Source organism: Homo sapiens, chromosome 17, assembly GCF_000001405.40.
Source record: "Homo sapiens chromosome 17, GRCh38.p14 Primary Assembly".
In the NCBI taxonomy this organism is placed as follows: domain Eukaryota; kingdom Metazoa; phylum Chordata; class Mammalia; order Primates; family Hominidae; genus Homo; species Homo sapiens.
The window spans coordinates 17,101,376-17,120,146 of record NC_000017.11 but is presented as its reverse complement, the minus strand read 5'-3'; the positions used below and the strand labels follow the sequence as shown (position 1 = coordinate 17,120,146).

The 18,771-nt window shown below is 51.8% G+C and overlaps 1 protein-coding gene across 12 annotated transcripts in view, besides 3 other annotated features; it reads right to left on the bottom strand.

Annotated features, from left to right (window-relative positions):
* MPRIP (myosin phosphatase Rho interacting protein) overlaps positions 1 to 18,771 on the bottom strand; it is a 150,187-nt gene that overhangs the window by 72,497 nt on the left and 58,919 nt on the right. The window lies entirely within an intron of this gene.
* Positions 392 to 917: an enhancer, noted in NCBI's record as "H3K27ac-H3K4me1 hESC enhancer chr17:17022544-17023069 (GRCh37/hg19 assembly coordinates)". NCBI's record gives its function as "activates a minimal SCP1, AML or CMV promoter by ChIP-STARR-seq in primed H9 embryonic stem cells {active_cell/tissue: H9 hESC(primed)}" and the evidence as "EXISTENCE:reporter gene assay evidence [ECO:0000049][PMID:30033119]".
* Positions 11,337 to 11,861: an enhancer, noted in NCBI's record as "H3K27ac-H3K4me1 hESC enhancer chr17:17011600-17012124 (GRCh37/hg19 assembly coordinates)". NCBI's record gives its function as "activates a minimal SCP1, AML or CMV promoter by ChIP-STARR-seq in primed H9 embryonic stem cells {active_cell/tissue: H9 hESC(primed)}" and the evidence as "EXISTENCE:reporter gene assay evidence [ECO:0000049][PMID:30033119]".
* Positions 11,882 to 12,081: an enhancer, noted in NCBI's record as "active region_11787". NCBI's record gives its function as "activates an Ori minimal core promoter by ATAC-STARR-seq in GM12878 lymphoblastoid cells {active_cell/tissue: GM12878}" and the evidence as "EXISTENCE:reporter gene assay evidence [ECO:0000049][PMID:35858748]".

Below are 18,771 nucleotides of genomic sequence, written 5' to 3'. Positions count from 1 at the left end.
ACCAGTCGCACGTGAGACCTGGGTGGGAGTCTTCCCTTTATCCCCCAATCCCTCATTCAGACCAGAAAACAGAGACCCAAGAAACAAAGGCTTTCCCCTAGGGCAAAGAATTACTCCCAAAATCTCAAGGTCAGAAAGGGGATTTCAAGGTGAAACCTGACTTCCCCCCACACCTGAGGTCCTGAGACAGCATGTTTCACAAACTCATCCAACCAAGGCCCACATGGAACACCACATTCACACCATGATGAGCACACACACAAGTGCACACATGCACATGAAATGGAAAACGGTGAGTCAGTATTTCTACCATGTGCACTGTATTTATTATTTTTTCATATGCACTGTGACCCACTTAAGGAGTATGAAAAGCTTTGTCTGCAAACTTTGGGGCTGAGCGGTCGCCTTGCTCATCTGCACTCTGGCAGGGACAGGCAGCTCGGCACGTTCTAGGGAGGACACAGGGAATTGCCTTGCAGTAGAAGCAGGAAGTGTATTCACCACTTCCTGGGTGCTCACTGTGGCCAGGCCCTGAGTAGCTACAGGTACTGATGACAGCTTCAGGAGGCAGGCACATCATTGTTCTGACTTTCAAATGTACAAGCTGGGGCTCCAAGTGATTATGGGACGTGGCACTCTGTGGGCCACCCAGAACAAGTGTGGTCCTCTCTGACTGGCACCCTTGCCCCTCTCTCCTTGGCATCTTTCCTCCCTGGACTTAACAATTGTTTGCACAAGGTCATGCCTAAGTTTATCAGAGAAACTGTAGGCAGGGCTACCCAGCCTGGACCACGTGGAGACTTGCCCAGCACGGCCCCTGCCTTCAGCCTGGCACTTCACTGAGCTATGGCCTGATTAGGCAGCGCCCAGGCAGGAACACCACCTCCCTCCTCCCTTGGGCTGGTGGGCTGTGCTGCAGACATGGTCTGGCTGCTCGAGCCAGGTCTAAGGAGAGGTCCTTCCTTTCTTTGGAATTCAGGACATTGGCTCCAGAGTTTTCTCAGGAAGGAACACAGCCCTTGGGGAGCACCAGCTGAGTTCCTAGGCGCCCCTGGAACCCACATCCTGGGAGGCACAACACAGGAGCAGGGCTCATGGGGGCTGTGTGGCTGGCTCAGGTCAAAGGTGGTCTCCCGGCTCTTCTTGCTGCAGCCAAACTGCTTCTAGGAGCCCGATCTAACAAATCACAAGCCCCTCTCTTTTGAGGAGGTGCTGGTGACTACCCCAAAGGCCATCAAGTGTAGAAAGGGCACTTAACTCTTGGCCCAAAGTCCCTCTGGGGCTGCAGACCTCCCCAGGGAGCAGCACTCTCCACAGACAGATATCCCCAAAGCCCAAGTCCTCTGAGGAAACTGGAAAGAGCCGCAGAAAAGGGGTCATGATCCCATGCAGGCCCAGAGTAAGCAAAGCCTCTGCCTGGCCTCTGTGCCACAACTCAGAGAAGTGTTAGGCCAACCACGCCTAGGGACTGACAATGGGCCTAGCAGGTACCCACCAGGCAGAACTCCCTTCCCCCTTCCCAGTCGTCACCGCCAGTCCTGGTGTACTCCACAGTCCTCATGGTTCAAAGGGCAGTTCCACAATCATCCTCCACACTGTAGCCTCCTGAAGCTGCATGGAACAGCCCCTAGGCTGGGCTGAGCCCTCATCCCAATGCCTGTCCTCAGGTGTCAGGTCTGATTCCAGGTCCTATCACCTCCTTGGGAAGGGAGCCATGATTCTGCACTCTTCCCCACCCTTCAGGTGTCCCACATGAAACCTGCATGCTACAACCTGGCAGACCCCAGAGAGGGTCCTGCAACCCCAGAGGGACTTTGGGCCAAGAGTTGGATGCCCATTCTACACCCGATGGCTTTTGGGGTGGTCCCCAGCACATCCTCAAAAGAGAGGCTTGTGATTTGTTAGATCAGGCTCCTAGAAGTAGTTTGGCTGCAGAAAGAAGGGCCGGGAGACCACCCCATGACCTGGGCTAGCCACACAGCCCCCGTGAGACTCCCAGGACCTTAGGCAGCTTTGGCCAGCCAGGGCTACCTAGGCTGGACCTACAGCACAGGCCAGGGAGACCAGCTCATGGGGCTTCCATCAGCCCAGGACAGGAGGAAGAGCTGGAGCCACAAACCACTGCTCTCCCAGCTGTTTCCCTCTGCAGAAGTTCTGAGATCTAAGGTAGACTCTAAGCAATCTGTTTTCAGAGCTCTCTAGCCAAGAAGAGCCTACCCTTGGAGTCAAGTCCTAGCTCTGCACTCACTAGCTCTGTGATTCTGGGCAAGTCGCAAATTGTGAGCCTCAGTTTCCCTAATGTAAAATGGTAGTAAATATAGGCCTCGTTTTGATTGTAAAGTGGTGTAGCTATTGTGGAAAACTTTAGCAGTTCCTCAAAAAATTACAGACAGTTTCCATATGACCCAACAAGTTGATTACTGGATATATACCCAAAAGAACAGAAGACAGGTACTCGAACATATACACAAATCATATCGTAGCAGCATAATTCGCGATAGCCAAAAGGTGGAAACAGCCCAAATGTCCATCAGTGGACAAATGGATAGACAAAATGCAATATTCATACAATGGAATATTATTTTATTCAGCCATAAAAAGAATGAAATCCTGACACATGCTCCAACATGAGCAAACCTTGGAAACATCACGCTAAGTGAATGAAGCCAGTCACAAAAGGACACACACTGTGTGACTCCATCTTGGTGAAATGTTCAGAAAAGGCCAACCCATAGAGAAAAAGCAGAGGAGTGGTTGCCAGGGGCTAGGGGAGGGGAATGAGAAGTGGCCTAATGTTTTGGCCTAGAGATTTCCCTTTGGGGTGATAATCTACCCCCTTCTGTCACAAGACTACAAACGATACTGCACAGCTGAAGCGGGACTCGAGCTCAGGCTCGGGATGGCACACCCGTGCCGCCTGCTGCTTCTCAGTGCACATCACCACTCTCCTACCAAGCAAGGGTGGTGGTCAGAAGACGATGGGTTCAACAACTTTCCTCGAATGTTTGGGAAGGAGGGAGGACAGTGTCGGGCATGTTCCGTCTTCTACCCTGTGGCAGAGAGGCAGGGCTCAGTGGACTGAGGAGCTCTGGGCATCATGGGCCACCGTCTTCTGCAAGGGGAGGGGGCACATCCTCTACTCAGAGACCATGGCCATCTACTTGTGCTAAGATGGCTGATAAGGGCTCTTGAAAACAATGGACCAAGCCGAAGGGTCAATCCAAAGGCAGCTGAGTACCGTGCAGATTCTCCCTGTGCCTCTCTGGCCCTTGCCTTGGGGCCCTGGGGAGCACCAGAGGCTGGTTTCCCAGGCCACATTCCAGGGGAGAGCAGGGTCTGCCCCTCTGCTGAGCCCCAGGCTGACAGCACCTGGCCCCAGACACTACCTGCAAAACATTTCTGACCCCTCTCCCCAGCTGCAGATGCATGCGGGGCAGGCCCTTTCCCACTGCCCACCAATACAGACTGGGGACTGGCAGGACGGAGGCCTCAGACCTGTGATTCTGGGAGTTCCGTGGGAGGCTTGGCTAGATGAGGCCAGCTGGGAACACCTGGTACACAGTGAAGAGGCCCATGGGTTCTACCCTCCTAGGCACAGCAGTGCTGGGAGCCTCAGAATGATTCAACAGGAACAGCCCCAGAACCATTCTTCATGAACATAGATCCGGCCAAGCCAACCCACAACTCAACTGCTCCAACAGCTCCCAGCCCAAGCTCTGCTCCCTGCACCAATTGCCCCACCTTGCCTCCTGGACCTACTTGCTGGCCTGGGAGACCCACGGTTACCCGCTGCACAGAGCAGCCTCCTTTATCACTGTCCTGCCGGAGAGGCCTGCCTGGCACATCTCCCCTCCTGGATCATTGTCCTGTGCTCCCTGAAGGGAGCCCCTGTGCAGAGGCCATGGCCCATCCACAGGTCTGCCCAACTGCTCTGCATACTAAGCCACAAGGTGCCTGATAAAACTCCTTGTATTTACTCTATACACCTAGGTCAGCACCTTCCAATATGTGCTTCAGTAAACATTTCTGAATGATGGAACAAGCCAACCCTGCTAGATTTATATTATAGATTTAATTATAATATAAATATTTGATTTACTTATATATGTAATAGATACGTTTTATTTATAAAATAGAAACCATCATTTTAACCAAAATCCCATATTCATTAAGGGTTAACAGGATGACACGTGTGCAAAGACCAGACAGTGGCAGGCTCTGCAGGGCATGAGGTAGAGAAGCTGTCTGGAAAGAGATGCAGGCCCCTGAGGAATGGCCTTTGCATGATCAGCACCTAGGCCACCAAGTCCATGGTGTTGGTCTGAAGCCACCACCCCAGCCTTGGGCCAATGACTCTGCTGCAACCAGCAGATGGTAAAGTTGTGAGATGATGCTGCATGACTCCATTTACATCAAGCGTCCAGGACAGGCCAATCGATAAAGATGGGAAGCAGGAGGGGAGGAGTGGCGGTGGCAGCTAAGGGATGCAGGGTTTGTTTGGGGGTTGATGAAAAATGCTCTGAAATTAGATTGTGTTGGTGGTTGTATAACCACGTGAATATCCTCAAAGACAATGACCTGTACACTTCAAACAAAACAAAACAGAACACTGCACAGATAACAGGGAGAAACCACAGGCTCAGCAGCAAGCAGGCCAGGCCTTCCAACAGGCCTTCATGGCTCCATCACGAGAAAGAGCTCGCCTCCCTGCCAACCCAGGCCTGGAAGGCCCTCTACACCCCACCTCTCCCTAACGTCTGGACGTGGAAACTCAGGCCCAGGCTTCCTAACTCCTAGCCCACCACAGCATGCCGCCTCCATCACAGAAGAAGCAGGAACCATGCAGTCAGGGCCAAAATCCCGAGGCCCTACCTTTCCTTCCCTCTACTGGAATGTGACAGTGGGTGTCACCACAGACGCAGAGCTACCGCTCCCATCCCAAGTAGGCCCTCTTCTAAGATTCAGCTCTGGCCCCAGAGACAGTGCATGCTTTCTGAGGCATTCGTGGATTAGCAGGAGGGGGCCTCCAAGATGTGCAGCATCTGCTAATGCCAGCAGCAACAATGCAGTGTGGGCCTCGCCCCAGCCTTGGTGCTGCAGTGCGTGGGCTGGGCCTTCTGCTACAAGTGACTTTGTGGGATGCTGAGGAAATGACCCGTTCAGGGCTTTCCCAGGGGCATAGTTAGAACCACTAAACTACTTTTTTTTTAACGGAGAAAATAAGAAAACAAGGACCTTTTTCACTTGCTGCCAAGACCAGGAAGTTCCTCCTCACACCTGCTACGCCAGGCTGGCCTGCTGGCTTCGGCCGCTGCCTGGGCAGCGAGATACCAGGGCCCCCGCCAAATGGCCAAGGGCCCTCTGCCAGAGGAGCTTCCCTTGGGAGCCCTCACCCAGTTAAGGCCCACCTTCCTCCTAAAACTGGTGGTGGGTGGGCGGGGGGTAGATGGGAAGAAGGTAGGAGAGGCATGGGAACTGGGGAAGAACAGCTTTTCATCCCCCTCACCCACCACAATGGTCAGCTAGCAGGATCCACCAACCAAGGGTGACACTACACCATATGCAACAATGAACTTGAAATGGAGCAGATACCTCAATGCAAGAACAAAGGCTATAAAATGCACAGAAGACCAAGGAAAAAAGCCCTGTAACACTGGATTTAGCAACCATTTCTTGGATATGACGCCAAAAGCACAAGCAACAAAAGAAAAAAAAAAGATAAACTAGACTTCATCAAAATTAAAAACCTTTGTACATCTAAGGACCAAGAGAGCGAAAAGGCAACCTAGGGAAGGGAAGGGAATACTTGCAAATCATATATCTGACAAAGTATTAGTATCTAGAATAAACAGCTCCTAAAACTCAACAACAAAAAACAATTAAAAATAGACAAAGGATGTGAATATACAAAGAAGATATACAAATGGCCAAGACACACATAAAAAGGTGCCTGACGTCATTAGTCATTAGAAAATGAAAGTCACCTAGCACTTCAGAAGGCCAAAGCAGGAGGATTGCTTGGGGCCAGAAGTTTGAGACCAACCTGGGCAAGATAGTGAGACCTCATCTCTAAAAATAAAAATTAAAAAATAAATAGCCAGATGTGGTGGTGTACTCTTATAGTCCCAGTTACTTGGGAGCAGGGAGGATCCCTTGAGCCCAGGAGTTCGAGGTTGCAGTGAGCTGTGATGGCACCACTGCACTCCAGTCTGGGCAACAGAGTGAGACCCTGTCTCTTAAGTAAAAAAAAAAAAAAAAAAAGAAAAGAAAAGAAAAGAAAATGCAAATCACATCAGCCACAATGAGATGCTAGTTCACATTCACTAGGGTAGAGGTAAGTTAAAAAACAGAAAACTGTCAGTGTTGGTGAGGTCATGGAGTAACTGGAACCGTGGTGCAGCCACTCTGGAAAGCAGTATGGAGCTTCTTCAAAAAATTAAACTGGACTTTATAGATTTGCTGTTTCATCCAGCAATTCCACTTGTAGGTATATACCCAGAGGAACTGAACACAGGGACTCGAACAGATATTTGTACACCCACGTACCATGGCAGCATTATTCACAATAGCCAACAGATGGAAGCAGCTCCAGTGTCCACCAATAGATAGATGAATAAACAAAATGTAGTATGTATATACACTGCCATATAATTCAGCCATAAAAAGGAAAGAAATTCTGGTATGTGCTATACTATGGATGAATCTTGAAAACACTATGCTAAGTGCAATAAGCCAGTCACAAAAGGATAGATACTGTATGATTCCACTTATGTGAAGCACCCAAAGTACTCAAATTCATAGAGAGTAGAATGGTGGTTGCCAGGGTGAGAACAGCTACTGGCAAATTTCTTTTCAAAAATTCTGTACCTGACCTATACCCCAGCTACCTTTCTCTGGCATTTCTGTCCCTGTCTTCATAGAAAACAGACCCTTGAGAGCTATACCACTAGTGATGGACTCAGCTGGGGAGGGCAGGCAGGGATACCAATCAGTGGAAGAAGAGACTGCAGGGCAGGGCCAGGAGCCGTCTGCAAGGGCAGCCTCAAGTTGCCACCCCCCAGGGCATGAAACAGTTCCAGCCCCAACCCTGGGGAGTCCCCAAGTGGACAGCTCCCAAAGCTCATGGGAGCTAGTGAGACCCCAAGTTCCATCCCAGCTGTCTGAGCTCGGAGGACCGCTGGGAAACAGCCCAGGGCTGAGGATGCCTCACTGGCCTCCTGTGGCCAGGGAGAAAGGACAGAGTGAGTTGGCTGTGTCACCAGCAGAAATGCCTAGCCTCTCCCAAGGCCCGCGTGCTACTCAGTGGGGATGGAACGCAGTACAGGCACAGCCTGAGGGCCGCCTCATCCTCCCTCCCTCCCCCTCAACGCCACCGGCTGCGCTGAAACACCTTTGTCCAGTGGCACCAACCCACAGCCCAGTTGCAGCCCTGTCCTCAGGAGGCTGTCCTCCTCCCGCAGAGCTGGGCTCCCCTTAAAGGGGCAGAGGGGAGGAGGCTGGGAGTAAGTGGAACTCAGTTCATGGGAGCGATGAACCATGCAGATGACGGTCCTGAGTGAGCCCTGCAGGAGCAGACGGCAGGAGCCAGGACTGTTCCACGTACAGAGGACAGGGGCAGCTGGGGAGGGGCTGGGGCTGCGGGGCAGGGCCACCATCCCCCAAATCCTTTAACTCCATGGCATCTACTGGACATCAGGCTTGGGGTCACAGTGATGAGGAAGACATGGTGCCTGCCACAGACTTCATGATACGGGGGGAAGAGAGGGCATACATAGCTGCTGTGAGATGGGCACTTGTGGGATGCAGGGGCAAGGAGGCCGGGTTTGGAGGATTCAGATGTCTTAAAGGTGGCCCCAGGCACAAGGCTCGAGACTTGTCCTGGGAGATCCCGACAGAGAGAGCTAGGCCCAAGGAGTGGGAGGGCAGAGACAGAGCTCAGCTGGAGATAAGAAAGCGCCGTTACCCAGGCCTTTCACACAGGCATGTTCTGTCCCGCAAGTATGAGGTGTATCACTGCCATCGCATACACAGGGACACCAGTTGGAAAAGCGCAGCAGCATGCCCAAGGTGGACCACGCTGCCCACAGCACCCGCACACCTCGTAAATATTAATATTTACCCAACACCTGCTCTGTGGGGTGCCGACGACTGTCATGCGACAATGAACAGAACTGATGAAACCTGGCCTGGACGGTTGCCCTTCCAAGCAGTCGGGCAAGCTAAACAAATGCCAGGGTGGGTAGCATGTGGGGAAGGGCCTCGGTGAGAAGCCAGCAGATATGGTGGGAAAGGCCTCCTGGGAACAGAGAGTGAGTGGGCAGTGCTGGGGAAGGCGGCCCGCTTGAGGGAGACTGGGCACAGGTCTGACCAGACATCACACTCAGGAAGGTAGGAGACTGCCTGCTGTTGGTACCGCCCGTAACAGCTGAGTCAGTCCGCAGTTCCCACTTGGTCCTGCTGCCTCGGTTTAACAGGCAGAAGAGTCTGAACAAGTCCTACAACAGAACATGCGGTCCCAAGAGGGACGCTGGCTTCACTCTCCACAGCTGTTCCCCAGCATGGTCTCTCAGGGGCCACCCGTTGCCAGGTCTCCCTCCTCAGCAGAAGCAGAAAACAGAGACCCCCCTGGACACACAGGCCAGCAGGCAGGTGCCCAGGCTGCAGGGGAGATGGGAAAAAGCCCCTGGTGAGGCTCCCTGCTGAGCCCCCACTTCCTAGCTTTCCTCTCATGACCTGGGGCCCTGGTCCTGCCTCAGGACACCTGCTGGGGCCTTCATGGCCAGGGTGCTGGTCTTCCCTGTCCTTCAAGGGCAAGGCCACTGGCACCTGCTTTCCAGGTCCTTCTTAGCAGCCTGGCCTACAGTGGCTTCCTCTCTCTTCGAGTCTCTATGGTACTTTTTTTTTTTTTTTTTTTTTTTTTTGGGACTACCCCTTGTGAAACAGGGCTCTCCCACGACACTGTGCCTAGAGGTTTTTTCTTTTTTTTTTGGTTTTTTTTTTTAAACTTTTAAAATAACCTTTTAATTTCAGAATAGATTCACATTTACAGAAAAGAAGACAAGAGTGTGTGAAGAGTTCTCCTACACCTCTCACCCAGTTTACCCTGTTATTAATACATCAGTGCAGTGCATTTGCTACAATGAATAAACCAATACTGACCTGTTATTAACTAAAGCTCACACCTCATTCAGCACAACTTGATTCAGGTGGCCTCAGCTTGCATCTACTGTTCTCCTGCTCCAAGATCCCACTCAGGACCCCACATCACATTAAGTGTCCTGTCCCCTGAGGCTCCTTTTGGCTGCAACAGTTTCTCAGACCTTCTGTGTTTTGGGTGACCTTGATGGTTTTGAGGAGTGCTGATCAGGTGTGTTGTAGACTGCACCTCAATTTGGGTTTGTCTGACGTTGTTCTCACGACTAGACTGTGGTTATGTGTTTAAGGGAGGACAACCATAGAGGTGATACCCCTTCTCTTCCCATCCTTCCAAGGCTTCACGACTGATCACTGTTGATGATGACCTTAAGTGCCTGGCTGGGGTCGTGCCTGTCAGTTTCTCTGCTGCAGAGCTGCTCCCCACCCCTGTGCTCTCTGGAAGGAAGTCACCACTCAACACGGAGTGGGGAGCTATGGCCATCTCCTTAAGTAAGGAGTAGCTGCATAAATAACCTGGAATTCTGCACAGGACATTTTGTTTCTTCTCTCCCATTTATTTATTTCTTTACTAAATGATTTCCTTATGCCAATACGGACTTGTGGATTTTATATCTTGTCTTAGTCTGTTTTGTGCCGCTATAAGGGAATACCTGAAGCTGGGTCATCTATAAAGAAAAAGAGGGTTATTTGGCTCACAATTCTGGATGGCTGGAAAGTTCAAGATTGGGGATCTCATCTGGGGAGGGCCTTGTGCTGCTCTACTCAGGGTGGAAGGCAAATGGGCGCTGGTGTGTGCAGAGATCACATGGTCAGAGAGGAGGGCGGGAGTGAGAAGGAAGCTGCCAGGCACTTTTTAACAACAAGGTCTCCAGGAAACTAACAGAGCAAGAACCCACTTGCTGCCCCGCCCAGGGCAGGGCACTGATCTACTCATGAGGGATCTGCCCTCATGACCCAAACGCCTCCCAACTAGGCCCCACCTCCAACACTGGGGAACACATTTCAACGTGAGGTTTGGAGGGGACAAACATCCACACTACACCATAATCCAACATTACAGTATTTATTTTGTTGCTCAAAGTGTTCCAGCTTTGGACACTGGGAGCTTTTCAGCCGGCTCCCATGTCCCCCTGACACACCCCCATCCGCATGTGCACCTGTGCAGCCTCAAAGCACTTCCTGGCATTGCAAGGTGCTTCATGTACCTTTAGGGTATATTTCCCGCCCCAGCCCTAGAATTGATCATTTCCTCCAGAAGCCCTGGTTTACTTTTATTGGAAAGTGCCATTAAAAATCAAGATCTGGATGGCAGGTGTGCTCATTGTTTCGCGGGTCTCACAGCTTCTAGGCCCTCTCCGCTAATGGAACAAGGAAATAGAGGTGTATATAACCTGGGCATACCACATATCTATAAACACTTCTCTCTGTATCCTTATGTATCTTTATTAAAGTCTCTATCAACTAAACACACTAGCACCTCCGTGGATCAGTCTAGCCTCCTTCCCTTGCCTGCCTGTTCCTTGTCACTGTGTGCAACAGTGGCTCCTGCCACCTGCCGTCCATTTACTTAACTGTTGAATCCCAGTACACAGGCATTGTGGTCTCAAAAGTGTCAGTACTCGTGTGAGAGAACTGCTTTCCCTTGCACACAGAGCCTATGTATGGCTCCTCTGGCCTCTTGGCTTGCAGACTCCACTCTACTGCAAAAGTGCACACTCCCTTTTACACCACTGTCTGGAAGTCCCTCTGGTGAATTCTCAGAGAAGAACCTGCAACGGTGCCCCATATACCCACGAGCTCAGCAGTGGGCAGAACGGATACTGATTGAATATTTTATACCTTCAGCATGAGTTTTTGAGACCTTTCCAAGGCATGTTTGGATAAGAAGGGAGGGGAACAAAGTGGCGAGGGTAAGGAGAGGACACAGAAGGAAAGGGAGAGAAGGGGGCTAAGGGCCCTTCAGCCTGTTTGAGCGCTTTCAGAAATCTGCGCACCACAGCCGGCGGGAGAAGTTGCACTGGAGAAGAGGCAGTGCTAGCATACAGGTGGGCGGAGTGCTGCCACTGGTGGCTTCAGATGGAGCTTCCTGTGTCCCAGCTTGCCTGGTCTCCAAGTCTGCCTGAGCCTGAGAGGGAGAGGGCGCTGCCATGCCACATGGTGTAACTGCCTTTTCTGCCCAAAGGCCTGCCAGGCAGATCTAGAGAAAACAAGCTGCTGTTTGCTGCAGTGAGACTGAAAGCAATGCAGCTGTGAGGCCCATAACATTCACCCGGCCCCACCCCCAGCACCCTCCCGGTCACCCCTGAGGGATCTACAGCAGGGAGAAGCAGCTTCAGGGGGCCCAGACCTCTCTAGAGGCTAGAGACAAAGGCCAGCTGGCTTAAAATGGAAGGTTTTAGAGCTTAAAGCAATGGTTCCAAACTTTTGCTGAATAATGTAATCACCTGGGAAGATTTCAAAATAGAGGTTCTATGCCCAGAGAGAGACTCAGATTTAAATTCTCAGATGTAGGGCTGAGGCATAGGAATTCTTAAAAGCTTCTCTAGTGATTCTAATGTTCAGCCAAGGCTGGGAACCACTGCCTCAAAGGGAGACCTTGATCTATATTTGATGCCAGAGGCTTGGCTCCGATGGCTGTCTGTCCCAGGCTGGCCACCCAGCTGTATTAAGTCACTTACAGCTTTTTGCTGGGCCAAAGAGGGCCTGATGAAAGCAAAGAAAGACAGAAGAGTGTGGAGACAAAATGCAGCTGTAAAGAGCCTGCTGGCAGTGGGGGTGAATGGACATGCTGGAGCTGCGATTATGATTCATAAAGTGCTTGGGGACAGTACCCTGAAAGGCCATGCCAGCCACAAGAAAACGAAACCCTCAGGCAGCCTGAGGGACAAGGCAGGAGGGAGGGCCATCCTTCTCCAGCAGGCCTGGGAAAAAGGGAGAGGTGGTGGCTGTGTCAGGCAACTGCTCTATCTACAGGGAAATGGCCCTTGCAGGTATGTGAGGCGGGACATGTGGCCAGGGCTCCGGGCAGGCCCCTGAGCAGCGAGCAACCTCTGCAGCCCTGGCCCTAAGCGGGCATACCATAGGTTCTCACACATGCACCTTCCTGCCAACCACTTACAGACACAGAGGGCAGCAGGCAGGCACAGAGGAACCCATGCAAGCTGGAAGCCCAAAGGACTTCAAATCACCTGCTGGGGAGAAACTTAAGATTCCAAACCAGCTAGAGAGATGGGAACTCAAGAACGAGCTCAATGCACAACAGGAATCTCTGGGTTTCCCCCGCCATCAGAGTCTCAGACACGAAGGGGACAAAGGAGGGTAGGGATTGCTCTCTAGCAGGGGATGTGCAGGACCAGCCTGGGCCTGTGTGCCAAATCCACCTGAATACAGGCCAGGCCACAGCCCTCCCTGTTGCGCCCCAGGACACTGAACTCCAGAGGAAGCTGCTGCGTGAGATGATGCAGGTGTCTCCCTGCACCAACAGTGTCAGGCTCACAAGGCACCTGCCAGCCCCAAGCCTTCTAAGGACAGGTCTTGTGCCCAAATGCCAGATGCCGGAGCAACCTGAATAGCACCCAGCCTCTGTCTGGCTCCTGCTCCCCACATCTACCCAAACCTGGCAGCAGCCTTGAAGTCCCCGCCCTGCCCAGGCTCTGAGGCTCCTTCCTGAAGACTCTTGTCTTCAGTGACTTTGTCACTGGGAGGAATTGGGCCTCCTGGCAGTAAGTCCAGAACCCTGAAAGAAGCTCTCTGGTGTTCTCAGAACTGATTCACAGAGAAAACCCACAAACACCAATCCACCCCCTCACTCTAAAGGGAGGGGCAGGGGGCTAGAGCCCATTAAATCCCGACACCCTCCAGGCTACGTTTCCAAAGGACAGGAGCAGAAGCTAAGAATAGACCAAATGTGTTGTAGATAAAACTTTCCTTGAGAAAGGGGTATGACATTAAGTTCCTCTTTGGCTTATTTTCTGCTTCCAAAGACTTCCCCACCCAATAAAATAATTATTAAGAACTGAGATCCTCTGCCAGCATTCCAGGAAGGCCAGCATCTGGGAAAGAAGTCGTTATCTTGGATGCTCTCATCTGCCTCTCTCCCACTGGGAATTCCCAATCTGCTTCTCAGAAATCCAACTTGTTATGGGAGCTTTGCATCAACAGTGATGTTTGAAGACCTATCCTTCTAGCCTGCCACTCCTACCTTGTCCTTCCAAGGTTGGGAAAATGTAGTTGGTCAGTTATGATGGCATAGTGGTGATTTCCTTCCATGTGTGGCGTCTTTTTTCCTTGTGTTCAGCCCTGACCCACCCATCCTCTGAGACTGACCTGCCTCCCAGACTAAACAGCTCTGCATCCCGGATCTCTCCAGCAGGCCTGGCCAGCCTTCACCAGTCAAAGCCACTGAGGGACTCAGGAAGATCCGGTTCTGGAAGGAGGAGAGGAAACACTATGTGGATTCTGTCTGGTGGGCACTGTCCAGGTCTCAAAGCACCAAGCTCTGTGGAGGGCAGGCTCCAGAGCGCTCTTGCTGCCCTCTCTCTGAAGTGGTGGAGGCTCAACTCTTTCAAGATCACAGGTTCTGCCCACGCCAGGCATGGTGTGTTCCTGCTGCTGCCTGCCCAGGATCAAGTCCTCTGGGCAGAGGGGCTTCTACAAGTCGACCACAAAGAGTGAAGCAGCAGAAACACCAAGACACAGACTCCCTGGAAAAGACCAAGAGTGTAGGAATCCAGTTGCCTTTCACCCATTCAGTCACTCAGTAGAAAACGGGGTACTGAGCACCTCTGCTGTGTTGGACGCCGGCAGGGCTGAGAAAGACATGGTGGTGAGGCCACCCCGTGCCTCACTGCAACACTGCAGACACTTCGCCCTGGACAAGCTCCCACACCCACCTGGAGATGCCGTGCTCTGAGATCCCTCAAAGCCACTGAGGGACTCAGGAAGATCCTGATCATGGTACTGGCTACACAGGTGTGCTTAATCTGTGAAACTTCATCAAGCTGAACCTGGGATGCACATGTTTTTTTGTCTTACGGCTTGCCACAATAAAAGGTTTCTTTAACATGCCTCCCTTTGAGTGGCAGATGTCCTATATGGGGTAGGAAAAACTATTTTAAAGATCAAAACCTTAACCTAATCCTAACCCTAAATAAAGATCAAAACTATTATAAAGATCAAATCCTTGAAAGGAAGGCCCTGCCTAGGCCACCAGGCTGGTAATGGCTGAGCTGGAATTAGGGCCCAAATCAGACCCCCTTCCCATAGTCCTGGAGTCACACTGTTTCCAGGGAACAGCCCTCACTGAAAAGTATCTCATTACAGGACGTCGGATAATCAGAGACAGCGTCTCTCACACCACCACCAGTGAGTGACTGCCTGCCCTCCTCTGCCTCAGTGGCCTGACTCAGTGGCCAAGGGACCCATCCATCTCTGAGGTGAGAGCTTTCCTGTCTTGACTGGTCTCCAAGACAAGGTGAACAGGGACCTCACCTCTACCTCCTTCTTAGGGGGCGAGAACAGTACTGCCCCAGTCAAGAGGAGCACGGGGGAATGGAGGGGTCCCCACCCAGTTTCAAGACCGACTCCGCCTCCCTAGGAGTATGGATGTAGAAAGATATGTGACCCCACAATAGCAATGGGCAACCCTGGACTCTTAGGAGACTGTTGGCCAGAGAGCAGCAACAGGGGCTGCCTGGGGGTGCTGGCTGAGGCCTGCAGTGAAAAAGCCCAAGAGCATCCCTGTTGGGCCCTCGACCTGCCCCACCACGAGGGTGGGTGAGACATGCTGTGGGACAGCAGGCAGTGCTCCCTGCCCTGGGAGAAAGCGATGCCCATCCCAGGTTCCATCGAATGGAATTAGTGCCTACTTGAGGATGAACAACAAAAGTCTATTTGTAGGCTTCTGTGTGTGGTTTATATAACCCTAAAGTGGACTGTGACAGGGAAGACAGGAGAAAGCAGCAAACACGCCCAGTGGATACCTGGGACCACTCTACCAAAGCACCTGGAAGCAACAAGGCCCCTCTCAACTCCACCACATGCCAACCACCCTCCCTAAACCAAGAAGAATCCCAACAGAGAAACCTGAACAAGTGCCCACACTGGGCCCCAGAGTGGGCTCAGGGAAATAATGAAGAGGGGTCTTAAGGACAAAGCTGGTGGCCCATACCACTGAGCCACAGGCCCATGCTTTTATGAAAGATGGAAGGGAGACTGGAAGCGTGGGTGCTCCGAAGGGAGGCAGCGGCTCCCTGCAGCAAGCTAGCTGGCACAGCACTGAGACCTCGTGGGTGGCTGAGGGGGAGGCAAGGAGCAGACGCAGCGGAAAGAAAACAATTGGGGCTCTGTCTCTCTGTGACACAGGACAGGTACTCTGCTAGCAGCCAGGGGAAGGTGACAGGGACAAAAGGAAGGACGGAGAAACGGTTCTGCCTTCACGGCTCCCCACCAGGCTTGAACACAGCCGTGGACTGGTCGGGAGGAAGGAAGGATGAAAGACACGGCCACCCAGCTGGCAGGAACAATCCTTGCCCACCCTTCATGCCACATCTCCTCAGGACACAGAAGCAATTCTCTACCAGGAAGGGGACAATGAATTCTGTTAGTTCACCAAAAACTCGCTCATGGCCAAAGGTTCTATGCAGCAGCACCCCACGGTCATGCAGCCTGGTACACTGCTGTATGCACATCCAGAAAACAGACACTCACGTCCACACATCAGGAGCGCTGGCACCATGTTAGATGGTGCAGGCACATGGTCACATAGCAGTGGGACGACTCAGACTCTCTAGGCCTCAGTTTTCCTCATCTGTATAATGGAGGTAAGCATGAGGCCTATTCCCTAAAGGCTGTCACAAGAATTAACTGAGAGTGTTTACGAGCACTTAGTGTCTGTGTCACATGAATATCTGACACAAATCAAACAGACATTATTCATTACCATCTTAGTTTTATCCTGAGGAAATGGGCTCACACGCCATTCCCAGAGCCACCAGGGACACACAGAGTTCCTTTCCTTTGGGAAAAAGCTAAATGATGACTGTTCCCGAGAAAACACCTGGTCTCCCATCCTAGGAGATATCTCACTGCTAAAAAGGAACAAAGAGGCTTTACTCGAAGGTTTGGTTCTTCGGCTTAAAATAAAGTGAGGGCATCAAAAGTGAGAGAAATCATGTGCGAAGGGCCATCATCTGAGGCAGGATGTAGGACAGCATTTTTAAAACCAATCTGTTTTCCTGCAGAGAGTAATGCTTCCATCTTTTTCAATACTCTTTTCAGCCCCCACCCCTGATGTCCTGATATAGCAGATAAAAGGGGGAGATCTTATTAGGAAGGAACCAACATCAATGCTGACAACCCACTGGAAATTACTTAAGAGACAGAGCAGGGGCCTGGGAAGGGGCAGTTTTTTTTAACAGCAAAAGCCTCCGTCTCCTGCAAAAACAAATCTGCTTTGGTCAGGGCATGAACTTCAGCTCTTTCCACGTAAAAAGAGAAGGCCAAACAGAAGGATCAAAGCACAAGGTGAGCTGGTTAAGCTCCACCAGGACCTCCAATTAGGCAGCTTACTAAAAATAGCAGCCGCTGCTCCCAAAGAGCCACTGCAAGATACCCTCACGGCTGCCGGCCCTGGGGTCTGAGCTGCTTTCCCAGCAGTGCTGATGGGGACACATGGCTGGGGACAGGGCCAGCTCCTGGTGACAAGCCTGACCTCCTTAGCTCCACACGTCACCAATGCTTTTTTCCATACTTTCACCAGAGCGCATCTGACATAACCTCCTCATCTTACAAAGACCCCATGGCCAGAGTGGAAGTGACTTAATCTGTGGCTGCCTGAACTGCCTGGGCCTTCTGACTTAGTCCAGTACTCGCTCCACCACACCACTCTGCCTCAAGGGAGACAAGGCCTTGGCATGGAGGAAACAGGCTAGCTGTACCTGGAGGCTGGCACACATGAGTCTTCCAACCCCCAGCACTCTCACACTTGTGTCAAAGTACATGAGGCCTGCATGCAGCATCAACTCTTGGAGCCCATGCCAGACAGAAGTGGTTACAAACGGGACAAACAGAGGTCCACCCCCAGAAGGGTGCAGGTTTGGCTGGGTAAGGGCAGGAAGAAGAATTACATGGAGCTGCCTGTCCACAGTGTCGACCTCAACGTTGCCCAGCAGGGCCCTAACCTTTCAGATGTTTCCTTCAGAGTCCTCTGTGGACAGGTGTCCACTAGCTGGGCTGGAACTGCAGAAGACAGGGAGGGTGGGTGTGCTGCCAGCAGATGCCACCTGGGCCACAGAGTGAGGGGTACCTGTGTCAGCCCAGGCCTGGCCTCTCTTGGGGGTGTGTATACCAAGCGCATGGGACATGAGACATGGCCATCTCACTACCTCCTTAATGACCCTGAGGAGGGGGCTGTCACCACTGCACAGGTGAGAAAGTGGCTTAGCCAAGGCTGCTCCACTAGTCATGGGTGGACCTGCTCGCACACTCCACACGTGCCCTGACGATCACCTGCCCCATCACAATGACCTGGCAGAGAAGAAAGCCTGACAGCTCCGCACTGCACCAGCCCTTTGGAGGCCCAGGTGTCTCAGCACTGAAGGGGCAGCAGAGGGATTGGCTTTCTTGGCATCTCCCACAATGCCTGGCACAACATAGAGTACAAGGCAGGTGCTCATGTAGGCCAAAGGAGAGGCAAGGGCCTTGTACACTTGGGGAGCTGATGGTATAGCCCCCTTCCTGGCCCAAGGCCTGGCCTTGACTATGGGTAACGCAGACAGGAGTGGCCCATAAAGACAGGAAGGGAGGCTGGGTGCGGTGGCTCATGCCTGTAATTCCAGCGTTTTGGGAGGCCGAGGCAGGAGGATTGCTTGAGTCCAGGAGTTTGGGACCAGCCTGGGCAACATAGGGAGATCCTGTCTCTATTTTTAAAAAATAAAAAAAATTAAAAAAAAAAATGAAGATAGGAAAGGAAAGCCTAGAAGCCAGAGGACTACACCCACCTGGACGTTTCCTCTTCCTCAGCCCCCAGCTCCCTGCGGGTGACATTTGAGCCAAGGGTAAGCCAGCCCTCTTTTAGGCCAAGCCTGACCTCCTGGACATCAGGATGTAGAGCCAAGGCAGGCAGGCTTTCTGGGCATGGCTTGAAGGCAGCCCATGGCCTGGAAAGGGCACTTGAACTGCAGCTGCCTGAGCAGTCTGCAAACCTGCCACAGGAGCCATAGCAGTACCTACCCTACGGGCCTTTTCCATTCTATTTCTAGAACTCTACCCTCAGGAAACAATTCCCCAGGCAGGAAAATATATACACAACTGAAGTCCTCACTGCTGTCTACACTACTGTTTAATGTTGCTGAAGGTTTTTCTTTGAAGTAACTATATATATATTTTTTTTGTTGTTGTTGTTTAAAAAAAATTTTTTTTGAGATGGAGTTTCACTCTTGTTGCCCAGGCTGGAGTGCAGTGGTGCAATCTCAGCTCACTGCAACCTCTGCCTCCCGAGTTCAAGCGATTCTCCTGCCTCAGCCTCAGCCTGAGTGGCTGGGATTACAGGCGCCTGCCACCATGTCTGGCTAATTTTTGTATTTTTTAGTAGAGATGGGGTTTCATCCTGTTGGC